The sequence below is a fragment of the Homo sapiens genome, chromosome 18, assembly GCF_000001405.40.
Source record: "Homo sapiens chromosome 18, GRCh38.p14 Primary Assembly".
Lineage (NCBI taxonomy): Eukaryota > Metazoa > Chordata > Mammalia > Primates > Hominidae > Homo > Homo sapiens.
In genome coordinates, this window is record NC_000018.10 from 31,203,970 (window position 1) to 31,229,312 (window position 25,343).

The 25,343-nt window shown below is 38.9% G+C and overlaps 1 long non-coding RNA gene across 2 annotated transcripts in view, besides 3 other annotated features; it reads left to right on the top strand.

Moving 5' to 3' along the window:
* Positions 2,158-3,357: an enhancer, noted in NCBI's record as "CDK7 strongly-dependent group 2 enhancer chr18:28786090-28787289 (GRCh37/hg19 assembly coordinates)". NCBI's record gives its function as "activates an origin of replication core promoter dependent on BRD2, BRD4, P300/CBP, MED14 and CDK7 cofactors, with strong dependence on CDK7, by STARR-seq in HCT116 cells {active_cell/tissue: HCT116}" and the evidence as "EXISTENCE:reporter gene assay evidence [ECO:0000049][PMID:35650434]".
* Positions 2,831-2,880: a silencer, noted in NCBI's record as "silent region_9382". NCBI's record gives its function as "represses an Ori minimal core promoter by ATAC-STARR-seq in GM12878 lymphoblastoid cells {active_cell/tissue: GM12878}" and the evidence as "EXISTENCE:reporter gene assay evidence [ECO:0000049][PMID:35858748]".
* Positions 21,505-22,076: an enhancer, noted in NCBI's record as "OCT4-NANOG hESC enhancer chr18:28805437-28806008 (GRCh37/hg19 assembly coordinates)". NCBI's record gives its function as "activates a minimal SCP1, AML or CMV promoter by ChIP-STARR-seq in primed H9 embryonic stem cells {active_cell/tissue: H9 hESC(primed)}" and the evidence as "EXISTENCE:reporter gene assay evidence [ECO:0000049][PMID:30033119]".
* The window catches only part of LOC105372049 (uncharacterized), a 34,186-nt gene continuing 32,985 nt past the window's right edge, over positions 24,143-25,343 (top strand). For both annotated transcript variants that reach the window (XR_001753388.2, XR_935334.3), the window contains exon 1: positions 24,143-24,241. This is a non-coding gene — a long non-coding RNA (uncharacterized LOC105372049). The remainder of the gene's footprint in view (positions 24,242-25,343) is intronic.

Consider the following 25,343-nt stretch of genomic DNA (forward strand, 5'->3'; position numbering starts at 1 on the left):
AATAAGCAGAGCACCCTGTGCGGGGTTGCTGAAAGGATAAAATGAGTATGCAAACACCTTGGACAGAATCACTCTATCGAACATGCTTATATTCCTCCTTTCTGATGCACTGAACACCTCTGGTTGCTGAGTTGTAAGACAGAAATGAGACTAAATACCTGCTTAACTTAACTAAATACCTGCTTAACTTAACTAAATACCTGCTTAACTTAACTAAATACCTGCTTAACTAAATACCTGCTTAACAAACCTCAGATATTGCAAGAACTTAATATTTCAGAAACATTCACTTAGAAATATGCTTTTATGAAGTAAAATTATTTACAAATAACTAAAATTATGAGTACCTTGGGGAAAAGTGTATTTCATAACCAGAAAAATCACTTCCCCTAAGTTTATCTGCCTCATATTTTACCAGTTTCATGATGTCGTAAAAATTATTTCTACATGTAAGCATACATAGATTAAATATGATATTCTATTTATTATATTTAGAAAATGATCGTATTCTCTTTCTCTTTGTTAAAGGCCAACTCATTCCCTTCACTTCCCACATTTTTTTTAAACAGAAGTTTCCAATCAAGCCATTTATTTCTAGAATGTTACCGGCATCACCTATAAACAGGAGCCATCTACTGTCATGTTTAATATTGCTTGTGTTTCATAAATTGCTTGTATTTCATTACTGCTTGTATTTCATAAATTGGTGCAAATACTCAGAACTTGCAAAAATAATTACCATTCAAAACCAAGAAATAAAGAAATAATGATATGCTTGTTTGTAGTATTATGACTAAATACAAATTTACTGGAAAGCTCTGCTCATAAACTCCATTTTCTTTCTGAGAAGCTGGCTTCACAAATTGGAAAATAATACTTTTATGCATATATTTTCTCATTCAACAAATATTTGTAGAAAGCCTGCCCTGCTGTGTGCCAGGCACTGTGTTAGGCCTGATACAATGATAAACAGGAGAGGGGATACAATAACGAATAGGAGAGTTGTGACCTCTGCCCTCAGGAACAGGGCACTTGTGGTGCAGACAGATAAGTAAACACACTGCCATGTGTGAGGAGCGCCAGGGCAGGGAAAGGGGAATGTGCCCTGGGAGCACACACCAGGAACCCCAGACCCACACTTCATGGTTGCAGGTAGGGAAGGTTCGCTGGTGGGAATGACCTTTAAGCTATTCTCTGAAGGATAAGGATTACCAAGTAAAGGGGGAGATTGGAGTGGCGGAAAGGATAGAGAGTGTTTCCAAAAGAGGAAACAGCATCCATGAAGGTATACAGGAGAGAGACAATGGTATATTTAAGAAACTGAGAGAAGGTTCATTTGGCATGAAGCCAGCATGGAGTTCAAGGTGGAGAGTACCAGGAGATAAGAATAAAGAACTAAAGAAGATCCAGCTTGTACAGAGTTATGCTAGTAGTACTTAAAAATTGGGCTTTTATCTAAGGACAATGAGTTCCAACAAGAATAGTAACATAACAGGTTAGGGAGGTTCATTTAGAAACCACTGACATCCACTAGAATATGCAGAGGCTTCCTAACACTGTCTGGCATTCTTCTCTGCTGGAACTCTTTGTTAGAATACATGGACATGGTCACTGCAGCCATGTAACAGGTTAAAATGAAAAGCACCTTTGTCGACGTCTCTTTTTCCAAACAAATATTGACTTCAGCAAAAGAGGTTTCATCACCTTCTGCCCACCTGTGTCTTCTCCCACTATTGCACATCTTTGGCCACATCTATTATCTACCTGTCTCCGGAGACACTCTCCTCTCTGCAAGGGAAACAGGGGAATTGTCCTGGAAGGTCAGTGCTATAGGGTTAAGAGGAACTATAAAACATGTCTCACCAGGTACAATGGCACGTGCCTGTAATCACAGCTGCTCAGAAGTCTGAGGCTGGAGAATGGCTCGAGCCCAGGAGTTCAAGACCAGCCTAGACAACATAGTGACACCCTATCTAAAAACAAACAAATAAATAAATATTAAAATACATTTAAAAAAATTACTCTAATATTCAAAAAAAGTTTCTCAAGCCAAAAGGAAAGCCTTCAATCCAGCCTCCATCACACCATTTCATAAAGGTAGAATACGTGGTGCTTTTTACACATTGCTTTATAAAACAAAGCAGTAGACTGAAGAAATGCTGAATGGTGGCCTTGATTACTACCTCATTGTGCCTTTGCACAAGTGGAAAGGCTGGGCTTGGAAGTCAAAAGACTTTAATGTTAGTTCTGCTAGCTATAAACTGTATGATCCCAGCAAATAACATAACCACTGTTGCCTCATTTCCTCTGTCTGTGAAACTGGAATTATACTTCCGCCTCTATGACTTTGAAAAGATATGGGAGGTAACTGCACAAGAGAAAGCACCTCACGTAAAACCTAAAAAGCAATAACAGCTCTCCTGTAGGAAGTATCTACTGTGTGCTGGCTATGTTACGTATTTCGTTTAATCCTTATAACACCCCCTTTGATAGGTATTACTTTTCACTTCCTACAGGTGAGGAAAATAAGGCCTAAATAGGTTAAGTAACTTCCCTGAAGCCCCACAGCTTTGCCACTTAGCCAAGATTTGAACCCAGTTCTAGCTCAGACCAACGCCATGCAAGCTTTTTGCTCTAATGCCTTTTCCCCCTTCCTTTCTCTTTTTGGCACACCAACTACAGACTGCAATAGGTTTTAATTTAAAATGCCTAATAAAAACATACTTTTATCAGAAAAAGCTACATACTTATATATGTATCATGCACATGATTACATGAGCAACACATATTCGCAATATAATTAATTCAAGTAATAATTCTGTCCCACCCTGATATTATGTATGTCCCATTTCCGATACCATCTTCTGTGTTCCAGAGATGAGCAACCTTGCTTGTGCTTGCTCAAGCGAAACACAGTCAACTGCTCCGGTGTCACTCGCTCCTCAAGTGGCCTGAAGCCGTCCAGCGGTCTCGGTGAGTAATGCAGTGACTAAAGCCCACACAAAAAGGAAGCAGTGCCCTTTTAATAGAGCCACAATATAAAGAAAACACTCAAGCCAGTTCCAGCTACTGTGAATGATTTATTGGGTGAGCCCTGCCCGACTAGGCCCAGCAATTTCCCATTTGTTGCGTCCCAATCCTGCCCCTCCCACATCTCCACCCTCCTGCTGCGGGCCCTTCCCAGGCACCTCCCTCTTTTTATGGTGACTGCAACTCTGCAGCTAACAGCTCACACACCACACCCTGACTCCTGCACTGGCTCAGGCTCCCTGGGATCTCTCTGCCCAACCCTCAATCCCCTCCTTCTACCTGCATGAAGCCTCTCATTAACGTGCCTTCCTTGACTCCTCTACAGACACCTCCCACTTAGATTCCTCAGCCTGTCTTCTTTCATCTCCTTTTTCATTTTATAAATTCTTTCCTAATTACCTCAAATCACAAGCATGTCAGATTAATTGAGTAAACCTCTTGAAAGTCTGTCCTCATAGACAGAGCACTCTGATGACAATCTTCCTCGAAGGGACAGCTAGACACTCGGTTAGGTCAGCTCCTTAGGTCTTGCGGCAATGCCTCATGTAAATGCTGCACGATATCCATTCGAGTGCAGACAATTGCCAATTACTGGTTAATAATTAGCATGGCACTCATTTCTTTATGGTAGTCATAATAATCGCAATAATAATAATAACTTCCATTTATTGGTCTAGAAATCACTGTGTGGCAGGTGCTTTTCATGCAGTAGCTTACTCAATCCCATAAGAACCCTTTGAAGGTAGGCATTTTTAGAGTAAACAGATGTACAGATTAAGGCAAAAAGAAATTCAGACGCTTTTTTGTTACATGGAATTAAGTACCAGAGACAGATTTCAAACTCAGTCTCTCTAAACACAAAGCCTGTCCATGCTTCCTGACAGCTCCAACCACATCCACTCTTCCCTCCATTGTTACTGACACTTCCATTCATGGTTTCTCCTTATTCATCACTCTCCTTAAAGAATTCTTTGCTAGAATTCTATAGATTCTGTTTATATAACACTTTTTCTGTCTATTTTCTTCCCTTCCCACTGCAACCACCCTGGTTAAGGTCTTCATTACCTTCCTCCTAAACCATCCAGCAACCATCTGACCAGTCATACTGTCTTGTTTCTCCCTCTAAATCCAGTCTTCACAGGGCTTCATATTTTCTCCTACTTAAAAAAAAAAAAAGTAATACGTTTCCACTGCCAATTAACTCAGGGAAACTTCTCATTCTAGCATTAAAATTTTTTAAAAAATTCTTTGTAAAATGAGATCAGTTTTTCTGTTGCCATATTTACTTTACTTTTAATGGCCATAGAATATTGCAGGAGAGACTGGGAAACAGAGATCAGTCACAGAAACAGATTTAGGCTCAGGCCTAAAAGATTTAGAAGAACTCTGACATCAGAAGAGGAGACACTGGGCAGGAAACTAAGGTGGGGCTTCATACAAAGAGTGAGTCCTTAGTCTTGAGAATACAAGCTTTGGTGCTGAGATGACCTGATACACTATGAAGACGAATTTAGCAAATATAAATTTTACCTTAATCATCTAAAAATTGTCTCATTTTTTAAAAATGCATGTTGATTCTAAAGATTAAATCCCAGATTCTGTATTAAAAAGAAAACTGTATTATGCTTCAAACAGTAAGAAATTCATTGGTATATTTAGAATCCCTTTTTGTAGTTTACTTCTATGATTTCCTTTGACTTTAAATAGTAGCTAGAGAGACCCTCTCAAGTTTACTGTTAATATTAATATATTATACATTGGGGGAATAAAAGGGATGACCTCACCTCCAGTTCTTGCTGTTTACCTTCTACACACCTTAAATTGAAATTATACGTTAATATCTCTACATTGGTGAACTTAAGTTAGTGACTAAGAGTATTTTAAGGTTATTAATCAATGACAGCAGGGTAATTCTATTTATAAGTAATGAATCCTAAAATGAATACTTGTTAAAAAAAAAAAAGTAGCTTCAACAGTGCTTACAATTCCCATAGTTTATTCATTCTTTTTGTGTATGTACATTATTTAAATAATTGAGGAAGTATATCAAAGCTTTAGAAATGCAAATAAAGCTGATTGTAATTGTAAATTGCCATCATTATTCTTTTGGATACCACAGCAATGTAAATTGAATAGCTAAGGCATGTAATTATGAAATTATTTAGTGGAAGGGGGTAGTCACTTCGAATCTACTTAGGTAAGGACCGCATGCCTCCAGCACACCTCGCCGTTCTTTAGCACACTCACCAGCATTCTTTAGTGGATGAACAATCTGATGCCTGATAAGATCATGGGGAGAGAGTGACAAAGGGTATTTGGGAGGAAGAAGAAAAGGATTAAGTTAACCAAAATGTTAAGTAGTTAAGAAACAAACAATTAACTCTTCAATTAGTAAATATTATAGTGCATGTTATTTTGAATCAGGCTGGGACACAGAACAGCAGAGGAGCTCATTCAAGTTCTAATTTAGTGTTCTCTGTAAGAGAGGACCATCTGAGAAAGTACAGTGTGCGATTTCACCCTGGAATCATTCAGACATTTGAAGGAGTAAAAACAAATTTGAACTGAATTGAATTTAAAATAGGTTTGCTAAATGTGCCCAGCTCTAAAAACTCTCCATTTCCAAACTCTGTGTACAACAACACATCTTTACTTAAATGTATTTTTAAACATATGCACGGTAAAATTTACTTTTTGTGGTGTTGAGTTCTAAGCATTGTGACAAACACATCAAGTCATATATCCATCATCAAAATTGTCATTGAGAACAGTTCCATCATCCCTCAAAATTTGCTTATGCTCCTCCTTTCTAGTAATCTTCTCCTTCCATTCCTAACCCCTGTCACCCACCCATGAGTTCTACAGCTCTATAGTTTTGCTTTTTTAGAATGTCATATAAATGAAATTCTATAATATGTAATTTGGGGATTTAGCTTCTTTCACTTAGCAAATCCTTTTGAGATTTAACAATGTCGCTTATACATATCAAGTCTGTTCCTTTTTATGGCTGAATAGTATTTCATTGTCTAGATGTACCATAGTTTATTTATTTACTATTCAAGTTTTTTTTTCCAGTTTTTAACAATTATGCACAAAGCTGTTAGAGATATTTACCTACAGGTTTTTTTGTGAGCATACATTTTTATTTCTCTTGAGTAATTACTCAGAGTGGCATCTGGATCATATAGTAAGTATATACTTAATCCTATAAAAAAGAACCAAACTGTTTCCCAAAATGATTGTAGCATTTTGCCTTCTCATTAACAATAAATAAGACACATAGTTCGGATATCTTTGTGCTGCAGTTGGGGTAATGTCTATTGACCTATGTTCAAGTTGACTAACCCTTTCTTCAGTTTGTGAAGTCTTCTAATGAGCCTTTGAATGTTCTTCTTCATCTCTGTTACTGTGCTTTTTATTTCTAACATTTTCATGCTATTCCATGTTATAGCGTTCCTCTCTCTGCTGAAATTGCCTTAGCTGTCTGTTTTTTGTATGTTGTCAGTTTTTTCTTTAGAAACATCAACATATTAGTTATAGTTGTTTTAAATTATCTTTCTGATAGTTCTGTCTTCTCTGTCATATCTGAATTTGGCTCTATTGATTGCTTTTCTCTTGGTAGTTTGTTGCTTTTTCTTGCTTCTTTGTATGCCTTATAATTTTTTGTTGAAAGTTGTATACCTATGTAGGAATAGAAACTGAGGCAAACAGTTTCTGCATTTGCACATGGGCATACCTGTCCTTACATTAGATCTTTATTTTGGGGAGGTGAACCAATCTAGGAAAGTGTTGAGTTGGGTTCGGTTCTTGTTGCTGTGCTGGCAATCAGTGTATACCATAGCATTCAGATTCTTCCAGAGATAACTTGTGTTTAGGGTGGAGACAGATTTGCAGTTTCTCTCACTATGTGCTTAATCTTTAGCTTGAGGTCTTCCCTTCCTGTTGTGCCTCAGAGAGGGTCTCTCTTTCTTTGTCTCTGAACTCTTGCAACTCTCCCAACATTATTGCACTGTTAGAAGTTACTCAGTGCTTGTAAGCCTGGTGAGAGGGAGGCAGCCTCTGTTATTCTGGTGAAGCCTTGGTCTTGTGTAGGTTCTATATCCCTGGATCTTTAGGAGTGGCCTTCTTAGTGCTCCTGACCCACCCACCAGCTATGGTTATGAGCTCCACACATGTTCCTGCCCTTCCTCGAAGGCTAGAGACTTTTCTTCTGTTCCCCACAGACAGGTAGAATGGTTTTTCCCAGTGTGATAAGTGCAGCAGTGCTTGTTGTCCCTCTGCCTGCATTTAAGACTTTTGTTACACAGGGGAGATAAGCCCATGCAGGCCTTCATGCCTTGCCTGCAGGGCTTACTATTCCTTTCCCTTAGGCCTGCCCTATTAAGTATGCTTTCTTGGATTCTCACTAATCATGTTTGTGTGTGTGTGTGTGTGTGTGTGTGTGTGTGTGTGTGTGTGTCTGTAAGCCTGTAATGTCCCTGGAAAAGAACCTGAAAGAGAATGTTACTCCCTTTATATCTATGACCCTAGAGACTCCACACTCTCATCAGCTCACACTTGGCTTCTGCCAACTCCTTAACTGAATTCCTTATCTAAATTCTTATTGGTACTTGATTGCATTTCCCCCAGGTAAACAAATGCTCACATCCCTCTCTCTCTGCAGGTATTTTTTTCTTCTTACATTTCAGATTGGTTAGTTGCCATGTGACCTCACCTTTCTGATGGGTTCAAAAAGTCATTAATTTGTAGTTTGTCTGGCTCTGTGTCACTGCTGTAAGGGTGAGAGTGATGTTCTTTCTGGCTCTTAGCAACCCAAAAGAAAACTGAAAGGCTTCCTACCTTTTTGGAGCCAATACAGGCTTTGTTTTTCAATATATTAGCTTTAAACAACAGATCGGCCTTAAACACTTGTTGTCTTTATTAAAATGTAGATAAAACTTCACTTGTATGTCCAAAAATTCCTCCCTACTACATCCAGTTTATCCCCGTGGAATCTCAAATACCCTTGTACATATCTAGGTTTCCTGGTTAAAACAGCCATACACTAAATTGGAAATCAGGAGAGTTGGTTTATCTAATCTCTTACTAACAGTATGACTTTGCAATTTGTTATACTGTCTTTTGATTTCAGCTTTCTCATCTTTAAATTAAGAAGTCAGTGTAAATTGCCTATATAATTCTTTCTGGTGTAATAATTTTTAGATAGTCTTATTTTTACTTTTTTGTTGTTGTTAAGAATGCAATTGTGTCACATGATTTTTAGTTATTACTTTGGAGTTTCCCCAGAGTATTGAGTCTATAGTACAATGGTTGAGCCAGCAAGCTTAGGAGGGAAACTGCCTAAGTTCAAATTCTTAGTTCAGCACTTTGGCGCTCTGTGTATCTTGGGCAAATTACTTTTCTAGGTCTCAGCCCCTATATTTAAACTTCAAATGATAAAATAATATATAATAGTTTTTTAAATAAAAATGTAAATTATCTAGTATAGTCTATAAAAGCTCAATAGACATAAAATTGTTTGAAAACATTGGCTGATAATCAAACCAAGGACAAGCACACGACTGCTCTCTAATTGAAGATAGCAGTAGAAGGTTGACTGGCATTTGTACAATGCCCAGTTTAACATCTGGGAGCTTAATATCTGGGAAGTTTTAAGAATTCACCTAATGTTAAAAAAAAAAAACAAACAAAAAAAACAAGACAACACCATGATACTAGAGTTTTGGAAAGGGACTGTCCTTACCAAGAAAAAGTGTATTGAACCTGGTATTCTTGGATCAGTAATTTAAAGTTGCTGGCTAAAGAAAATGGCCACAAGTCCTAAAAGACAGTTCATATTTTCCTCCTTTTTATATCTCAGTTTTTGTAACCTTTTCTGAATAGAACATTTATTTCTGCTTGATGAAGTGTGCTTTAGTCTGATTGTAAAGAGAATAATAGAAAGAATTGAGAAAAGGAAAAAGGAGTGACATTGATAAATTTTAGCCAACTTAAAAACTAGAAAGTATATGGTCACAGAGCAAAATAATACTGATGAATTTATAACTTTTAATAACATTGGAATAGCTACTCTCATTTTTGTGATAGCATTGTCTCTTTAGAGGAATCCATTAAAAATATAGATTTCAGGTTCCTATCATACCAGACATTCTTATTTATTTGATCAGCTATGCCCCAAAATTATGAATTTAACATACTCCCTAGGTTACTCTCGTGTGTTTTCAGGTTTAAAAACTACTGCTAGATTATGCGTGCAGGTCATAACCATATTTTAACTAATTGAAATGTAGTTTTGAAAATGCCCATAGTTAACCATTACAAAGTTGAGCCTCATAGGAATACAAAGTTCACAGAAGCCAGCAAATGCCCTCCCAAAGATCAGGATGATGAAGTGTGGATAAAACTATAGAATGAATCTTAATGTAGTCGCAGATCCCCTGTGTTAGATGAGGAATTATTTCTAGGCTCTTTTATCCTCCCTCACAGTTAAGAACTCATAAGACTCCTAACTCCTAGGCTTCTTCCAGTTCCCCAGGCAACTTTTAACCTAACACTGCAGGATTAATAACACTTCCTTCAGTAGCAATTCTGATTTTGATCCTAAACTGAGGTTCCGATAATAGCTCTTGCCCAGCCTCTCTAGAATTGATGACATGGTTTCATTCATGCCAGTTTCTACCCTTGCCTACTAAAACCTCAAAAATTCATACTAAATCCAGCCCAGTGATGGGCTCTAGCTTCCTAGATGCAGATTGCATTGACATTGGCAGTCAATTTGCCTGTATGCTCTCCATATTATCAACTGCTCCTGGATCCCATGACTGAGCTTTCCAGTCCAACAACTTGATTCAATTCCCAGTCTCCACATTTGCAAACTCATGATTCTGGCCAAGTTGTTTTTAACTCTATGAGCTCCAGGTTCCTCAACTGAAAAATATTAATAGCAATAATTTTATCACAAGCAATAAAAATTAAATAATGATTATATATTAACTGAAATGATAAGTCTGGTAGCAGGTGCTTAATGGCTACTTATTCATTCTCTAATAGAAAACATATATGGAAACACTGTGCTTCCTTAATACACTCCTCTATCTTCCTTTGGCTCTATTCTTCTCTGCTCAAAATTACTTTATTAAAATATGATTATTATAATCTTTTGCATCTGTGTTTCCTACTCTTTTTCATATCATGGCATATATCTAAAGTGATTGTATTTCAACAGAAAAATAGGACAAGTGAATGAAATTAAAATTGCTGAGTAAAAGATATAATCATCGCAGAATCTCCAGCCTTCTCAAGCCTATCCTGGAGGCCCTGAGTGCTACATTAATCATTTATCAACCTATCTGTAATTTATCACTTATCCCAGTTAAGCAACTTTGCTTCGATTGGCATGTTCTGCCAATAGACAAATGTATTAATCCATTTTCACGCTGCTGATAAAGACATACCCAAGACCATGAAGAAAAAGAGGTTTAATTGGACTTACATTTCCAATGGCTGGGGGGGCCTCAGAATCATGGTGGGAGGCAAAAGGTACTTTTTACATGGTGGCAGCAAGAGAAAAATGAAGAAGATGCAAAAGGAGAAACTCCTGATAAAACCATCAGATCTCATGAGACTTACTCACTACCATGAGAACAGTATGGAGGAAACCACCCCCATGAATCAAATTATCTCCCACTGGATCCCTCCCACAACACATGGGAATTATGGGAGCACAATTCAAGATGAGATTTGGGTGAGGACACAACCAAACCATATCATTTCATCCCTGGCCCCTCCAAATCTCATGTCCCCACATTTCAAAGCCAACCATGCCTTCCCAACAGTCCCCCAAAGTCTTAACTCATTTCAGCATTAACCCAAAAGTCCACAATTCAAAGTCTCATCTGAGACAAGGCAAGTCCCTTCCACCTATGAGCCTGTAAAATCAAAAGCAAGCTAGTTACTTTCTAGACACAATGGGGATACACATTTGGGTAAATACAGCCATTCCACATAGCACTGGAAGTCCTAGCCAAAGGAATTAGGCAAGAAAAAGAAAAAGCATCTAAATTAGTAAAGAAGGAGTAAAATTATCTGTTTACAAATGTTATGATCTTATATATAAAAAAACTCTCAGGACTCAAGAAATAGCTGTTAAAACTATATTGGCATATAAAAATTAGTGGTATTTCTATATACTAACAATGAACCATCCAAAAAATTTAAGAACACAACTCCATTTATGATAGCATCAAAGAGAATAAAATGCTTAGGAATAAACGTAACCAACAAGGCAAAAATCTTGTACACTGAAAACTATAAAACATTGGTGACAAGAATTAAAGAAGACACAAATGGAAAGATATTACATGTCCCTTAGTTGGAAGACTTAATATGTTAAAAATGTTCATACTACTGAAAGTGATCTACAGAGTCAATGCAAACTCTATCGAAACTTCAGTGGCATTTGTTATATAAATATTAAGAAATCTAAAATTTATATAGAACCACAAAGGATTCAAATAGCAAAAACAAACTTTTTTTTTTTTTTTTTTTTTTTTTTTTGAGACGGAGTCTCACTCTGTCACCCAGGCTGGAGTGCAGTGGCATGATCTCTGCTCACTGCAACCTCCACCTCCCGGGTTCAAGCAAATCTTCTGCCTCAGCCTCCCAAGTAGCTGGGACTACAGGTGCGTGCCACCAAGCCTGGCTAATTTTTATATTTTTAGTAGAAACAGGGTTTCACCATGCTGGCCAGGATGGCCTCAATCTCCTGACCTTGTGATCTGCCCACCTCAGCCTCCCAAAGTGCTGGGATTACAGGTGTGAGCCACTGCACCTGGCCAGCAAAAAGAATCTTGAGAAAGAAGAGCAGAGCTGGAGGCACCACTCTTCCTGAGTTCAAAATATATTACAAACTTATATAAACGAAAAGAGTATTGTGCTGGCATAAATACACAGACAATATAGATCAATGGAACAAAATAGTGAGGCTAGCAATAAACCCACTCAAGTATGGTTAAATAATCTCTGACAAGAGTGCAAAGAGTCACAATGGGGAAAGGATAGTCACCTCAACAAATGGCATTGAGAAAACTGAGTCACCACATGCAAAAGAATAAAAATGGACATTCATACCATACACAAAAATCAACTCAAAGTGTATGAAAGACTTAAACATAAGACTGGAAACTCAAAAACTCCTACAAAAAAACAGAGGGACTCTTCATTACGTAGATATTGGCAATGATTTCTTATATATGACCCCAAAAGCACAGGCAACAAAAGTAAATATAGATGAATAGAATGACATCAAACTACAAATCTTCTTCACAGCAAAGGAAACAATCAACAAAATAAAAAGGCAACCTACAGACTGAAAGAAAATATTTGCAAACCATATATCTGATAAGTCGTCAATATCCAGAACATATAAGGAACTCCACAACTCAAAAGCAAAAAAAAAAATCTGATTTTAAAATGGGCAAAGGACTTGAAAAGACAAATAATACATGTAAGTAGCCAATATGTACATTAAAAAGTGATTAACGTCATTAATCATCAGGGAAATGCAAGTCAAAAGTACAATGACAGGATGAAGAGAGAAAATGGTGGATAGGAGACAGGACTAATGTGCAGCTTCCACTTGGACATGCAGAACAACGTGTGAAAACTCACACCATGAACTTCTCCAGGAACCACAGCACAAACGTGCCAGGAAGACTGAAAGGGTTCACTGATCCTTTGGAAAAAGCAGCTCACTATGCAAACTCTGTGAGACAGCAGAAAAACTCTGAGTTTTCAAAGTGTGAGAGGGGGAATCTTGCCTTTGAACACACATCCCCACTGGGGAACCTATAGAAGAAGCAGTGGGAAGAGTCCTGTAGGCACTCCCAGTCCCCAGTTTGAGCCCAGGGAGGCCATCCCTTACTTTATCTCACAGAGAGGGTCCTTGGGCAAAACAGCCAGCCAAACTAGGCAGGGGGTCGCAGGGTGAAAGAAGCTTCCAACTGAACTTTGTAATTTCAACCAAGCATGAATTTTTGTGAGCAGCATATACGGGTGAACAGGAATTGCTGCAGGTACCAGCACAGGAGACATGGCTGATAGTGTGGGCAGGTGGGAAGGGGCAAGGCCTGAAAGCCGTGCTTACTTTCTCAGTGGAGAGGCTTTTAGCCTGGGGCGAGGTCTGAGTCCTGCATGCAGGATGCTGGATATAAACACTGTTGGTGAGGCACAGCAGGAAGAAGACTAGCCTCACTGGCTGTGTGGAAGCTGGGTGAGGCCTGTCACTGCCAGCTTTCCGCCACTTCCCTGATGACCTATATGATGCAGCAGAGGCAGCCGTAATCCCCCTGGGAACATAACTCCATTGGCCTGAGAACCACCTCCCCATCCCCCATCGTGGCTGCAGCAAGCCCCATCCAAGGAGATTCTGAGCTCAGACCCACCTAACCCTGCCCTCACCTGATGGTTTTTCTCTACCCACCCTGGTAGCCAAACACAAAAGACATAAACTCTTGGGAGCTTTATGGCCCCTCCCACTGCCTGAGAAACCCAAATACTTATTCTGGCCAACTTAAAGCAAGCTTATATCCCCCCTCTAATAATGCAGCTGGTGCTCTCTTGAAAGAACCGCCTCCTGGCTGGAAGCCAAACAAATCAAGCCATTGCAGCAACTTGTGACAAAATAACCCTGATCAAGGAAGTAGAAAACAGCAGCGAATTCCTCCGCCTGCAACATTCTGGCTAAGCAGAGGTCCTGAGTCTGTCCACGCGACAACTTCACTTCTAGCATAATCAGCATTCAAGAAAACCAGCACACTAAACGAAACTACAGCCAAGGACTTTCACAGTCTACTTCACTCTCCTGCCACCTCCACCAGAGCAGATGCTGGTATCCATGGCTGGGAGACCTGAAGACAGACCACATCACAGGACTCTTTGCAGACATTCTGCAGTACCAGCCCAGAGCCTGGTACCCCACTGGGTGGCTAGACCCAGAAGAGCAATAGCAATCACAGCAGTCCAGCTCTCCAGAAGCCCCCATTCCTAGGGGAAGGAGGAGAGCACCACATCAAGGGATCACCCTGTGAGACAAAAGGATCTGAACAGAAGTCCTTGAATTCCAGATCTTTCTACTGAAATAGTCTACCCAAACAAGAAGAAACAAAAAAAAAGTAATTCTAGTAATATGACAAAACAAGGTCCTATAACACCCCGAAAAGATCTCACTAGCTGCTCCCTAGCAATGGATCCAAACCAAGGAGAAATCTCTGAATTGCCAAATAAATAATTCAAAAGGTTGATTATTAAGCTACTCCAGGAGGTACCAGAGAAAAGTTAAACCCAACTTGAAGAAATTTAAAAAAAAAATGCAGGGTATGGATGAAAAACTTTCCAGAGAAATTGATATCATAAAGAAAAAAACAATCACAACTTTTAGAAATGGAAGACACACTTAGAGAAATACAAAATAGACGGCAAAGTTTCAACAATAGAACAAGTGGAAGAAAAAACTTCAGAGCATGAAGACAGGGCTTTCAAATTAACCCAATCTGACAAAGACAAAGAAAAAAGAATAAAAAAATAAACAAAGCCTCCAAGAAATTTGGGATTATGTTAAATGACCAAACCTAGAATAATTGGTGTTCATGAGGAAGAAGATAAATCTAAAAGTTTGGAAAACGTATTTGAAGGAATAATTGAGGAAAATTTCTCCAGCCCTGCTAGAGTTCTAGCATCCAAACACAAGAAACTTAGGCTACTCTGCCTATGGAGTAGCCATTCTGTATTCTTTTACTCTCTTAATAAACTTGCTTTCACTTAAAAAAGAAATGAAGAAGAGGAGGAGGAGGAAGAGGAGGAAAGAGGAGGAGGAGGAGGAAGAGGAAGAGGAGGAGGAAGAAGAGGAGGAGGAGGAGGGGAGGAGGAAGAGGAAGCTCAAAGAACACCTGGAAAATTCATCGCAAAAAGATTATCAACTAGGCTCATAGTCATCAGGTTATCTAAATTCAAGATGAAGGAAACAATCTTAAGAGCTGTGAGGCAAATGTATCAGGTAACCTATAATGAAAAACCTATCAGATTAATGACAGATTTCTCAGCAGAAACCTTACAAGCCTGAAGGGATTGGAGTCCTGTTTTTAGCCTCCTCAAACAAAATAACTATCAGCCAAAAATTCTGTATTCAGCAAAACTAAGCTTCATAAAGGAAGGATAATACAGTCTTTTTTTCAGACAAACAGATGCTGAGAGAATTTGCCACTACTAAGCCAGCACTACGAGAATAGCTAAAAGGAGCTATTCTAAATCTTAAAACAAAAACTTGAAATACATCAAAATAGAACCTATTTAAAGTGTAAGTCTCACGGACCCTATTAAAAAATAACACAATGAAAAAAAATAAGATATTTAGGCAATAACTAGAGGGATGAATAGAATAGTACGTCACATCTCAATATTAATAGTGAATGTAAATGACCTAAATGCCCACTTAAAAGATACAGAATGGCAGAATGGATAAAAAATCCGCCAACCAAGTACCTTCTGTCTTCAAGAGACTCACTTAGCACATAAGGACTCACAAGAACTTAAAGTGAAGGGGTAAAAAAAGACATTCTGTGAAAATGGAAACCAAAAGTCAGCAGGAGTAGCTATTCTTATATCAGACAAAACAGACTTTAAAGCAACAACAGTTTAAAAAAGACAAAGAGGAACATTACATAATGATAAAAGGATTAGGCCAACAGGAAAACATTACAATCCTAAATATAGGTGCACCTAACACAGGAGCTCCCAAATTTATGAAACAATTACTACTAGGCCTGAAAAATGAGATAGATGTCAACATAGTAATAGTGAGGGACTTCAATACCCCACTGACAGCACTAAACAGGTCATCAAGACAGAAGGTCAACAAAGAAACAATGGACTGAAACTATATCCTACAACAAATGGACTTAACAGATATTTATAGAACATTCTACCCAACAACTGCAGAATATACATTCTTTTCATCAGCACATGGAACATTCTTCAAGACAGACCATGTGATAGACCACAAAACAAGTCTCAATAAATTTAAGAAAATTGAAATAATATCAAGTATCCTCTCAGACCACAGTGAAATAAAATCAGAAATTAACTCCAAAAGGAACCCTCAAAACTATATGAATACATGGAAATTAAATAATCTGCTCCTGAATTATCTTTGGGTCAACAATAAAATCAAGATGAAAATGTAAAAATTCTTTGAACTGAAAGATAATAGTGACACGACCTATCAAAACCTCTGGGATATGGCAAAAGTGGTGCTAAGAGGAAAGTACGTAGCATTAAATGCCTACATCAAAAAGTTTGAAAGAGGCTGGACTCAGTGGCTCATGCCTGTAAACGCAGCACATTAGAAGGCTGAGGTGGGTAGATCACTTGAGGCCAGGAGTTTGAGACTAGCCTGGCCAACATGGTGAAACCCCATCTCTACTAAAAATACAAAAATTATCCAGGCATGGTGGTGCATGCCTGAAATCCCAGCTACTTAAGAGGCTGAGGCATGAGAATTGCTCGAACCCGGGAGGCAAAGGTTGCAATGAACCAAGATCATGCCACTACACTCCAGCTTGGTGACAAAGTGAGACTCTGTATCAAAACAAACAAACAAAAATCTGCAAGAGCACAATTAGACTATCTATGTTCACAATTAGACCTCAAGGAACTAGAGAAACAAGAACAAACCAAACCCAACTCCAGAAGAAGAAAAATAATAATAATAACAAAGATCAGTGCAGAACTAAATGAAACTGAAGCAAAAAAAATACAAAAGATAAATGAAACAAAAACTGTTTGTTTGAAAAGATTTTAAAAAATTGATAGACCATTAGCAAGATTAACCAAAAAAAGAAGAGAAGATCCAAATAAACTCAATTAGAAACAAAATGGGAGATATTACAACTGATACAAAAGAAATACAAAAGATCATTCAAGGCTATTATAAACACCTTTATGCACACAAACTAGAAAACCTACAGGAGATGGATAAATTCCTGGAAATATACGACCCTCCTAGATTAAACCAGGAAGAAATAGAAACTCTGAACTGACCAATAACAAGTGACAAGATTGAAACAGTAATTAAAAAATTGCCAACATAAAAATGTCCAGAACCGGATAGATTCACAGCTGAATTCTATCAGACATTCAAAGAATTGGTACCAATCCTACAGAAACTATTCCAAAAGATAGAGAAAGAGGGAATCTTCCCTAAATAATTCTCTGAAGCCAGTATCTTCTTGTTACCAAAACCAGGAAAGGACATACCACCAACAAAAAAAACTACAGACCAATATCTCTGATGAACCAAGATGCAATAATCTTCAACAAAATACTAGCTAGCCAAATCCAACAGCATATCAAAAAGATAATACATCATGATCAAGTGGGTTTCATACCAGGGATGCAGGGATACTTTAACACACACGAAGTCAATAAATGTGAGACATCACATAAACTGAATTAAATACAAAATTCTTATGATTATCCCAAGAGACACAGTAAAAGCATTTGAGAAAATCCAGCATCCCTTTATGATTAAAACACTCAACAAAATCAGCATAGAAGGCACATACCTCAGGGTAATAAAAGCCATCTATGACAAACCTACAGCCAACATTAAACTGAATGGAGAAAAATTGAAAACATTCCCCCTGAGAAATGGAACAAGACAAGGATACCCAGTTTCACCACTTCTATTCAACACAGTACTGGAAGTCCTAGCCAGAGCAATCAGACAAGAGAAAGAAATAAAGTGCATCCAAATGAGTAAATATGACGTCAAACTGTCACTGTTCACCAACAATATGATGGTATACTTAGAAAGTCCCAAAGACGGCCAGGCATGGTGGCTCACACCTGTAATCCCAGCACTTTAGGAGGCCAAGGTGGGTGGATCACCTGAGGTCAGGAGCTTGAGACCAGTCTGGCTGACATGGTGAAACCTCGTTTCTACCAAAAATACAAAATTAACTAGGCATGGCGGCACATGCCTGTAATCCCAGCTGCTAGGGAGGCTGAGGCAGGAGAATCACTCGAACCCAGAAGACAGAGGTTGCAGTGAGCCAAAATAGTGCCATTGCACTCCAGCTTGGGCAATAAGAGAGAAACTCCATCTCCAAAAAAAAAAAAAAAAAAAAAAAAAAAAAAAACTAAAAAACAAAAAACAAACAAAAAAACCCCAAAGACTCATCCAAGAAGCTCCTAGATCTGATAAATATGCAGTAAAGTTTCAAGATACAAATCAATGTACACAAATCCGTAGCACTGCTATACACCAATATTGACCAAGCTGGGAGTCAAATCAAGAACTCAACCCCTTTTACAATAGCTGCGAAGAATAAAAAATACTTAGGAATATGCCTTACCAAGGAAGGGAAAGATCTCCACAAGGAAAACTAAAAAACACTGCTGAAAGAAATCAGATGACACAAACAAATGGAAACATATCCCATGCTCATGGATGGCTAGAATCAATATTGTGAAAATGACCATACTGCCAAATGCAATCTATAAATTCAATGCTATTTCCATCAAAATACTATCACCATTCTTCACAGGGATAGAAAAAACAATCCTACAATTCATATGGAGCCAAACAAGAACCCACATAGCCAAAGCAAGAACAAATCTGGAGGCATCACATTCCCCAAATTCAAATATAGTACAAGGCTATAGTTACCCAAACAGCATGGTACTGGTATAAAAATAGGCATGTAGACCAATGGAAGATAATAGAGAACCCAGAAATAAAGCCAAATACTTAAAGCCAACTGATCTTTGACAAAGCAAATGAAAACATAAAGTGGGAAAAGGACACCCTATTCAACAAATGGTGCGGGAATAACTAGCAAGCCACATGTAGAAGAATGAAACTGGATCCTCATCTCTCACCTTACACAAAAATCAACTCAAGATGGATTAAATACTTAAATCTAAGACCTGAAACCATAAAAATTCTAGAAGATAACATCAGAAAAACTCTTCTAGACATTGGCTTAGGCAAAGAGTTCATGGTCAAGAACCCAAAAGCAAATGCAAAAAAAGCAAAAATAAATAGATGAGACTTAATTAAACTAAAAATCTTCTACACAGCAAAAGAAATAATCAGCAGAGTAAACAGACAATCCATAGAGTGGGAGAAAATATTTGCAAACTATGCATCTAACAAAGGACTAATATCCAGAATCTACAAGGAACTCAAACAAATCAGCAAGAAAAAAAGGAACAATTCTATCAAAGAGTGGACTAAGGACATGAATAGAGGGTTCTCAAAAGAAGATATACAAATGGCCAACGAACATATGAAAAATGTTCAGCATCACTAATTACCAGAGAAATGCAAATTAAAACCACAATGCTATACCACCTTACTCCTGCAAGAATGGCCATCATTTAAAAATAAAAAAAAATAGATTTTAGCATGGATGTGGTGAAAAGGAAACACTTTTACACTGCTGGTAGAAGCAGCAGTGTACAATTGTATACAAGTCCCAGTGCCTAGGCCACAGACCGGTACTGGTCTGTGGCCTGTTAAGAACTCGACCACACAGCAGGAGATAAGCAGCGGGCAAACAAGTGAAGCTTCATTTGTATTTACAGCCTTTCCCGTCACTCACATTACCACCTGAACTTGGCCTCCTGTCAGATCAGCAGCAACACTGGATTCTCATAGCAGCTCGAACCCTACTGTGAACTGTACATGTGAGGAATCTAGGTTGTGCGCTCCTTATGAGACTCTACTGCCTGATGATCTTTCACTGTCTCCCATCACCCCCAGATGGGACCGTCTAGTTGCAGGAAAACAAGCTCGGGGCTCCTACTGATTCTACATTATGGTAAGTTGTATAATTCTTTCATTATATATTAATATTACAATGTAACAATTAAAGAAATAAAGTGCACAATAAATGTAATGCACTTGAACCATCGCCAAACCATCCCCACCACCCACCACCCCATCCATGGAAAAACCATCTTCCACAAAACTGCTCCCTGGTGCCAAAAAGTTTGCGGACCCCTGATTTAAATCATAAATCATCCAGGTTGTTTCTTACCACAGCATAATGTCACCCATTCTGATGTGTACACATTCTCTAAAAGATATTACAAACACATTATTTAAACCTGTTTGCCAGCCGGCCTGGTGGCTCACGCCTGTAATCTCAGCACTTTGGGCGGCCGAGGTAGGTGGATCACTTGAGATCAGGAGTTCGAGACCAGCCTGGCCAATATGGTGAAACCCTGTCTCTATCAAAATACAAAAGTTAGTTGGGCGTGGTGGTGGGTGCCTGTAATCGCAGCTACTTGGGAGGCTGAGGCATGAGAAGTGCTTGAACCTGGAAGGCAAAGGTTGCGGTGAGCCAAGACAGTGCCACTGCACTCCAGCCTGGGTGATAGAGAGAGACTCAGTCTCAAAAAACAAAAACAAAAACAAAAAGCTTCTTTGCCTGTATTTGCTTATTCCTATAGAGTATTTATGTATACAAGTTTATTCCTTTTTAATGCTCAGTAGTATTCACTTATATATGATTGAATACAATTGAATACTACTGAGCATCAAAAAGGAATAAACTTGTATATAATTGAATATGTGTGTATGTGTGTGTATACAGCATATTTTGCTTAGTCACTTACTAGTTGATGGATAATTAAATTGCTTCCAGTTTTTTGAATATTTCAAAAAATGCATTTAGAGACATTTTCATATTTTTCTTTTTTTTTTTTTTTTCTTTTTGAGACAAGGTATTGCTCTGTTGCTCAGGTTGGAGTGCAGTGGTTTGATCTCAGCTCAATGCAACCTCGGTCTCCAGGCTCAAGCAATTCCCCCATCTCAGCATCCCTAGTAGCTGAGTAGCTGGGACTACAGGTGCATGCCACCACACTGGGCCAATTTTAGTATGTTTTGTAGAGACAGAGTTTGTCATGTTGCCCAGGGCTGGTCTCGAACTCCTGGACCCAAGCAATCCGCCTGCCTTAGCCTCCCACAGTGCTGGGATAACAGGTGTGAGCCACCGCACCCAGCCAATATTTACATATTTTTCAACTCTAGAATTTCCACTTTGTTTTTTCTAGTAGATTCTTTTTCTTTATTAATAGTTCCCACTTTTTAGCAATTGCCACCACATTTCCTTTAGTTCTTTGAACATGTGTATACTGACCTCTTAAGTTCTTCAAAGATATTTATCATATCTAATTAGAAATTTTTGTCTGCTAAATGCAACATTTAGACCCACTCAGAGACAGTTTTCACTGGCTGTTTTTATGCTAAGTATAATTTACATTTTCCTATTTGTGTTCTTGCATGCTTTATAAACTTTTGTAGAAAACTAGACAATTCGGATAATATATTGTAGCAACTCTGGATTATCACTTTCTTTTTCTCTGAGGGTTTTTTGTTGGGCGTGTGTGTGTGTGGATTTTGTTGTTGTTTGCCTACCTGTTGTTTTTAAGTAACATATCTGAATTAAATCTGAGGAGTTTAGAAGCCCCATGATGTGCAGCTGTTGATGCCTCTGCTTAACTTTTTTATTGTTTTTATTTTTTAAGCTGGTGTCTTAGAAGTGACCCCTGGTTTTGCATAATTAAATGGTCCGTCAATGATTGAACAAAAGTTGTGTTCAAAAACGGTGGGCTATAAGGCTTTCACCCTCTGCTTGTGGATCTGTGTTTAGTTTGGGCAGTTTTCAAGTCTGCGTGGCCTTTTGTTGTTATTGTTGGCCCTCACGTCTCCACCATTCATGCACACAGGCTCCCAGGCAGCCAGGCATGTGTGGAATGTTTATCAAGTGCCTCAATTGCTATCTCCCTGCTAAATATCTTGCTGGTCTTACATTCTGTTACTTGCCCCAACCAGGACCATAACCTCATGCTGCAGGCTTTTCGTGTTCACTGCTGGGTGAGATTTTTCCATCCTCCACTCCAAACAAAATCAGCGGCCTCCAGCAGTGAAGGTGCTAGTTTTCATGGCCATTTGGCCCTGGTAGAACTACTGCATCATCTGAGCTGAGGCAGGGGCAGTGGACAACTTCAGGCAAGAATGCCACAGACTTCCACTGTTTTCCCTAAAATTCAGTAGATTTTTGTGAATATATGTCTCTTACGTTGTTGTTTGCCTTTTGTAGATTTCCAGAGCTTGCTTTTTTTTTTTTAACTATTTTTGTCAGTTTCATAGTTGTTTTTTGGAGAGATGGTTTGTGAATCTCTTCAGTCTTATATAGCTGGCAGTCCTGCCTATTTTCCCTTTTTTATATCAATGAATTCCACCTTTCACAACACTTAGATGCATATATATATTCAAACCCTTCAGGGTACTCAGCAGAGTAAAGGGTGAATAGAGGGCACTTTATTTAACAGGACCCAACTTTTATAAAAGGTAGTTGGGGACTGGGAACCATGGCTCACACCTGTAATCCCAGTACTTTGGGAGGCTAAGGCGGGTGAATCTCTTGAGCTCAGAAGTTTGAGACCAGCCTGGCAACATAGCAAAACCCTGTTTCTAATATGTGTGTGTGTGTGTGTGTGTGTGTGTGTGTGTGTGAGAGAGAGAGAGAGAGAGAGAGAGAGAGAGAGAGAGAGAGACAGAGAGACAGAGAGAGAGAGAGAGCCCGGAAGGTCGAGGCTACAGTGAAAGCTATGTTCACACCACTGCACTCCAGCCTGGGTGACAGAGCAAAATCCTGTCTCAAAAAAAAAAAAATGGCAATTAAAATTTAAAAATAGTATCATTTTTTTCTTTTCTAATAACAATTGCCCTATAAGCATTTCTGGTATAGAAAAGCCAAGTAGACTTGGCTATATGAGACATATTTTTTCCTTTTTATTTATAAATAATGAAAGAACCACAACACATACAACAGCTCAGATGCAGAGCAGCATTTCTTCAAGTCCTTCATTACCTCCGTCCAGAAACACTTTCTTTACTTAACTTCCTCTTCTGTGACTTCACTATTCTTTCTCTCCTCCTGGCCTCTGAATTTTGTGCACACTGCCAGTAAGTACTGGACTCTCTTCTATTTATTTTCTACACACGGACATATTTGGTGGTCACGCCTCATCTCTCAGGTTTAAACACCATCTTTAAACTGAGGCCCAGTTATGCAACCACTTCCTTGACACCTCTACTTGGATCTCCAATAGACAAAATTTAAAATATCTAAAACAAAACTCGTGGTTTAAGACCACACCACAGATTTGCTCCTCTCTCAATCTTCCCATTCATCCAATTTTTCTGGCCAAAAACCTAGAATTCACCTGAGTTGACTCTGCTCCCTTTCACTCTACAGTCAATTCATGAGCATGTCCTAAGGGGCTCATAATTCAAAATGTATCCAGAATGTGAGCTGATCATGTCCCTCACTGCCACCATTCTAGACTAAGCCACCTTCATCACTCACCTGGGCTCTTGCAATTGCCTCTGAAGTCTTCTTTCTGCTCCAACATAGTCAAGTCTCTTTTTGAAAATATAAATGAAATCTTATCGTTACTTGGCTCAATTGTTTCTTGCAGAGTAAGATTCAAGCTTTGCACTATGTACTGGTCTGGCCTGTGCTCTCTGGCTTATTTCACTCCAGTCATCCTGTTTCTTTTGCATCCCAACCTCAGGCCCTTTGGCTTTTACTTATCTTTAAAACAAGTGAGGCAGAAATGGTAACCAGCCATTTGACTCACATTGCATTGGCAAGAATGCCATCACATCACATTATCATCTGCAAAGGACTCAGAGAAATGTAATCTCTGCCAAGGAAGTCATATGATCAACTTAAATTCTATTACTACAACACAGGAGATAATGGAATTTGGTGGACAGTTAGCAGTTTCTGACACAATATTTGGCTCTAGCCACCCCACTGTTTAGATGTAAATTTCCTTCCACAAATGGAACATACTTGTTCCCTTTCCAAAGTAGGTAAGCTGAAGTCTAATTCAGTTATTTCATCCAGCTCAAAGTTCAGGATCACTAGTTGAAACACAGTCCTCTCCACCAGATCAATATGTTACCTCCCTCCAATTCCCACCCCACAAATAAACAGTAGCAGAGCAGGAATAGGATAAATGCAATATAAGCCACAATTTGGAAAAGGAAAGCATGAGAAGCACACTACAGAGACTGATCTAGAGAAGTTATCACTGTGCTGGGTGGGAGTCATTCATCTGTCTGCTCTGGGAGGTGAGTGGGTTCTTGGTTGACCCGTCTGGCTGTCCCTGGTTCTACTCTCTGAGAGGAACTCCTTTGCCTGTGGTCGTTGTGGCCTCTGACCTTGCCTTCTGGGCACTTATTTTGTGTCTTTTACATGAATATCAGAAGACTACTTCATGCCTCACAATTTTGCTTTTCCAAATTATGCTGATGGCTAATTTGGTAACGCAATCCATTGAAAACATAGTAACTGCAGGGTTTTTTTCCTTATAATTGATTGCATGTTTCAATAACCATACCTCATTTTTTTAAAATTTAGTTTTAAGTGTATCTGCTTTCTGACTTTTATACTGTAACTATCTGTGTTAGGCTGTTCTTGTGTTGCTATAAAGAAATGCCTGGCCAGGCGCAGTGGCTCACACCTGTAATCCCAACACTTTGGGAGGCCAAGGTGGGTGGATCACTTAGGTCAGAAATTCAAGACCAGCCTGGCCAACATTGTGAAACTCTGTCTCTACAAGAATACAATAATTAGCCAGGTGTGGTGGTGCATGTCTGCAGTGCCAGCTACTTGGAAGCTGAGGCAGGAGAATCACTTGAACCCGGGAGGTGGAGGTTGCGTGAGCCAAGATCATGCCACTGCACTCCAGCCTGGGTGACAGAATGAGACTCTGTCAAAAAAAAAAAAAAAAAAAAAAAAAGAAGGAGGAAGGAAGGAAGGAGAAAAAGAAATACCTGAAACTGAGTAATTTATAAAGAAAAGAGATTTAATTTGCTTATGGTTCTGCAGGCTATATAGGAAGTGTGGTGCTGGGCATCTGAGGCTTCAGGGATCTTTTACTCATGGTGAAAAGCAAATTGGAAGCAGCGGTGAGAGTTGGTGGGGGGGCAGTGCCACACAATTTTAAACAACTAGACCTCACGAGAACTCATTCACTATCATGAAGACAGTACCAAGCCATGGCCATGAGGGATCCACCTCCATAACCCAAACACCCCCTACCAGACCCCACCTTCAACATTGGGGATTACATTTCAACCTGAGACTTAGAGGGAACAACATCCAAACTGTATCGCCATCTTCTCACACTATCTTTCTGGAAATTTCTAACCACTTCACCTAGAGGAACAA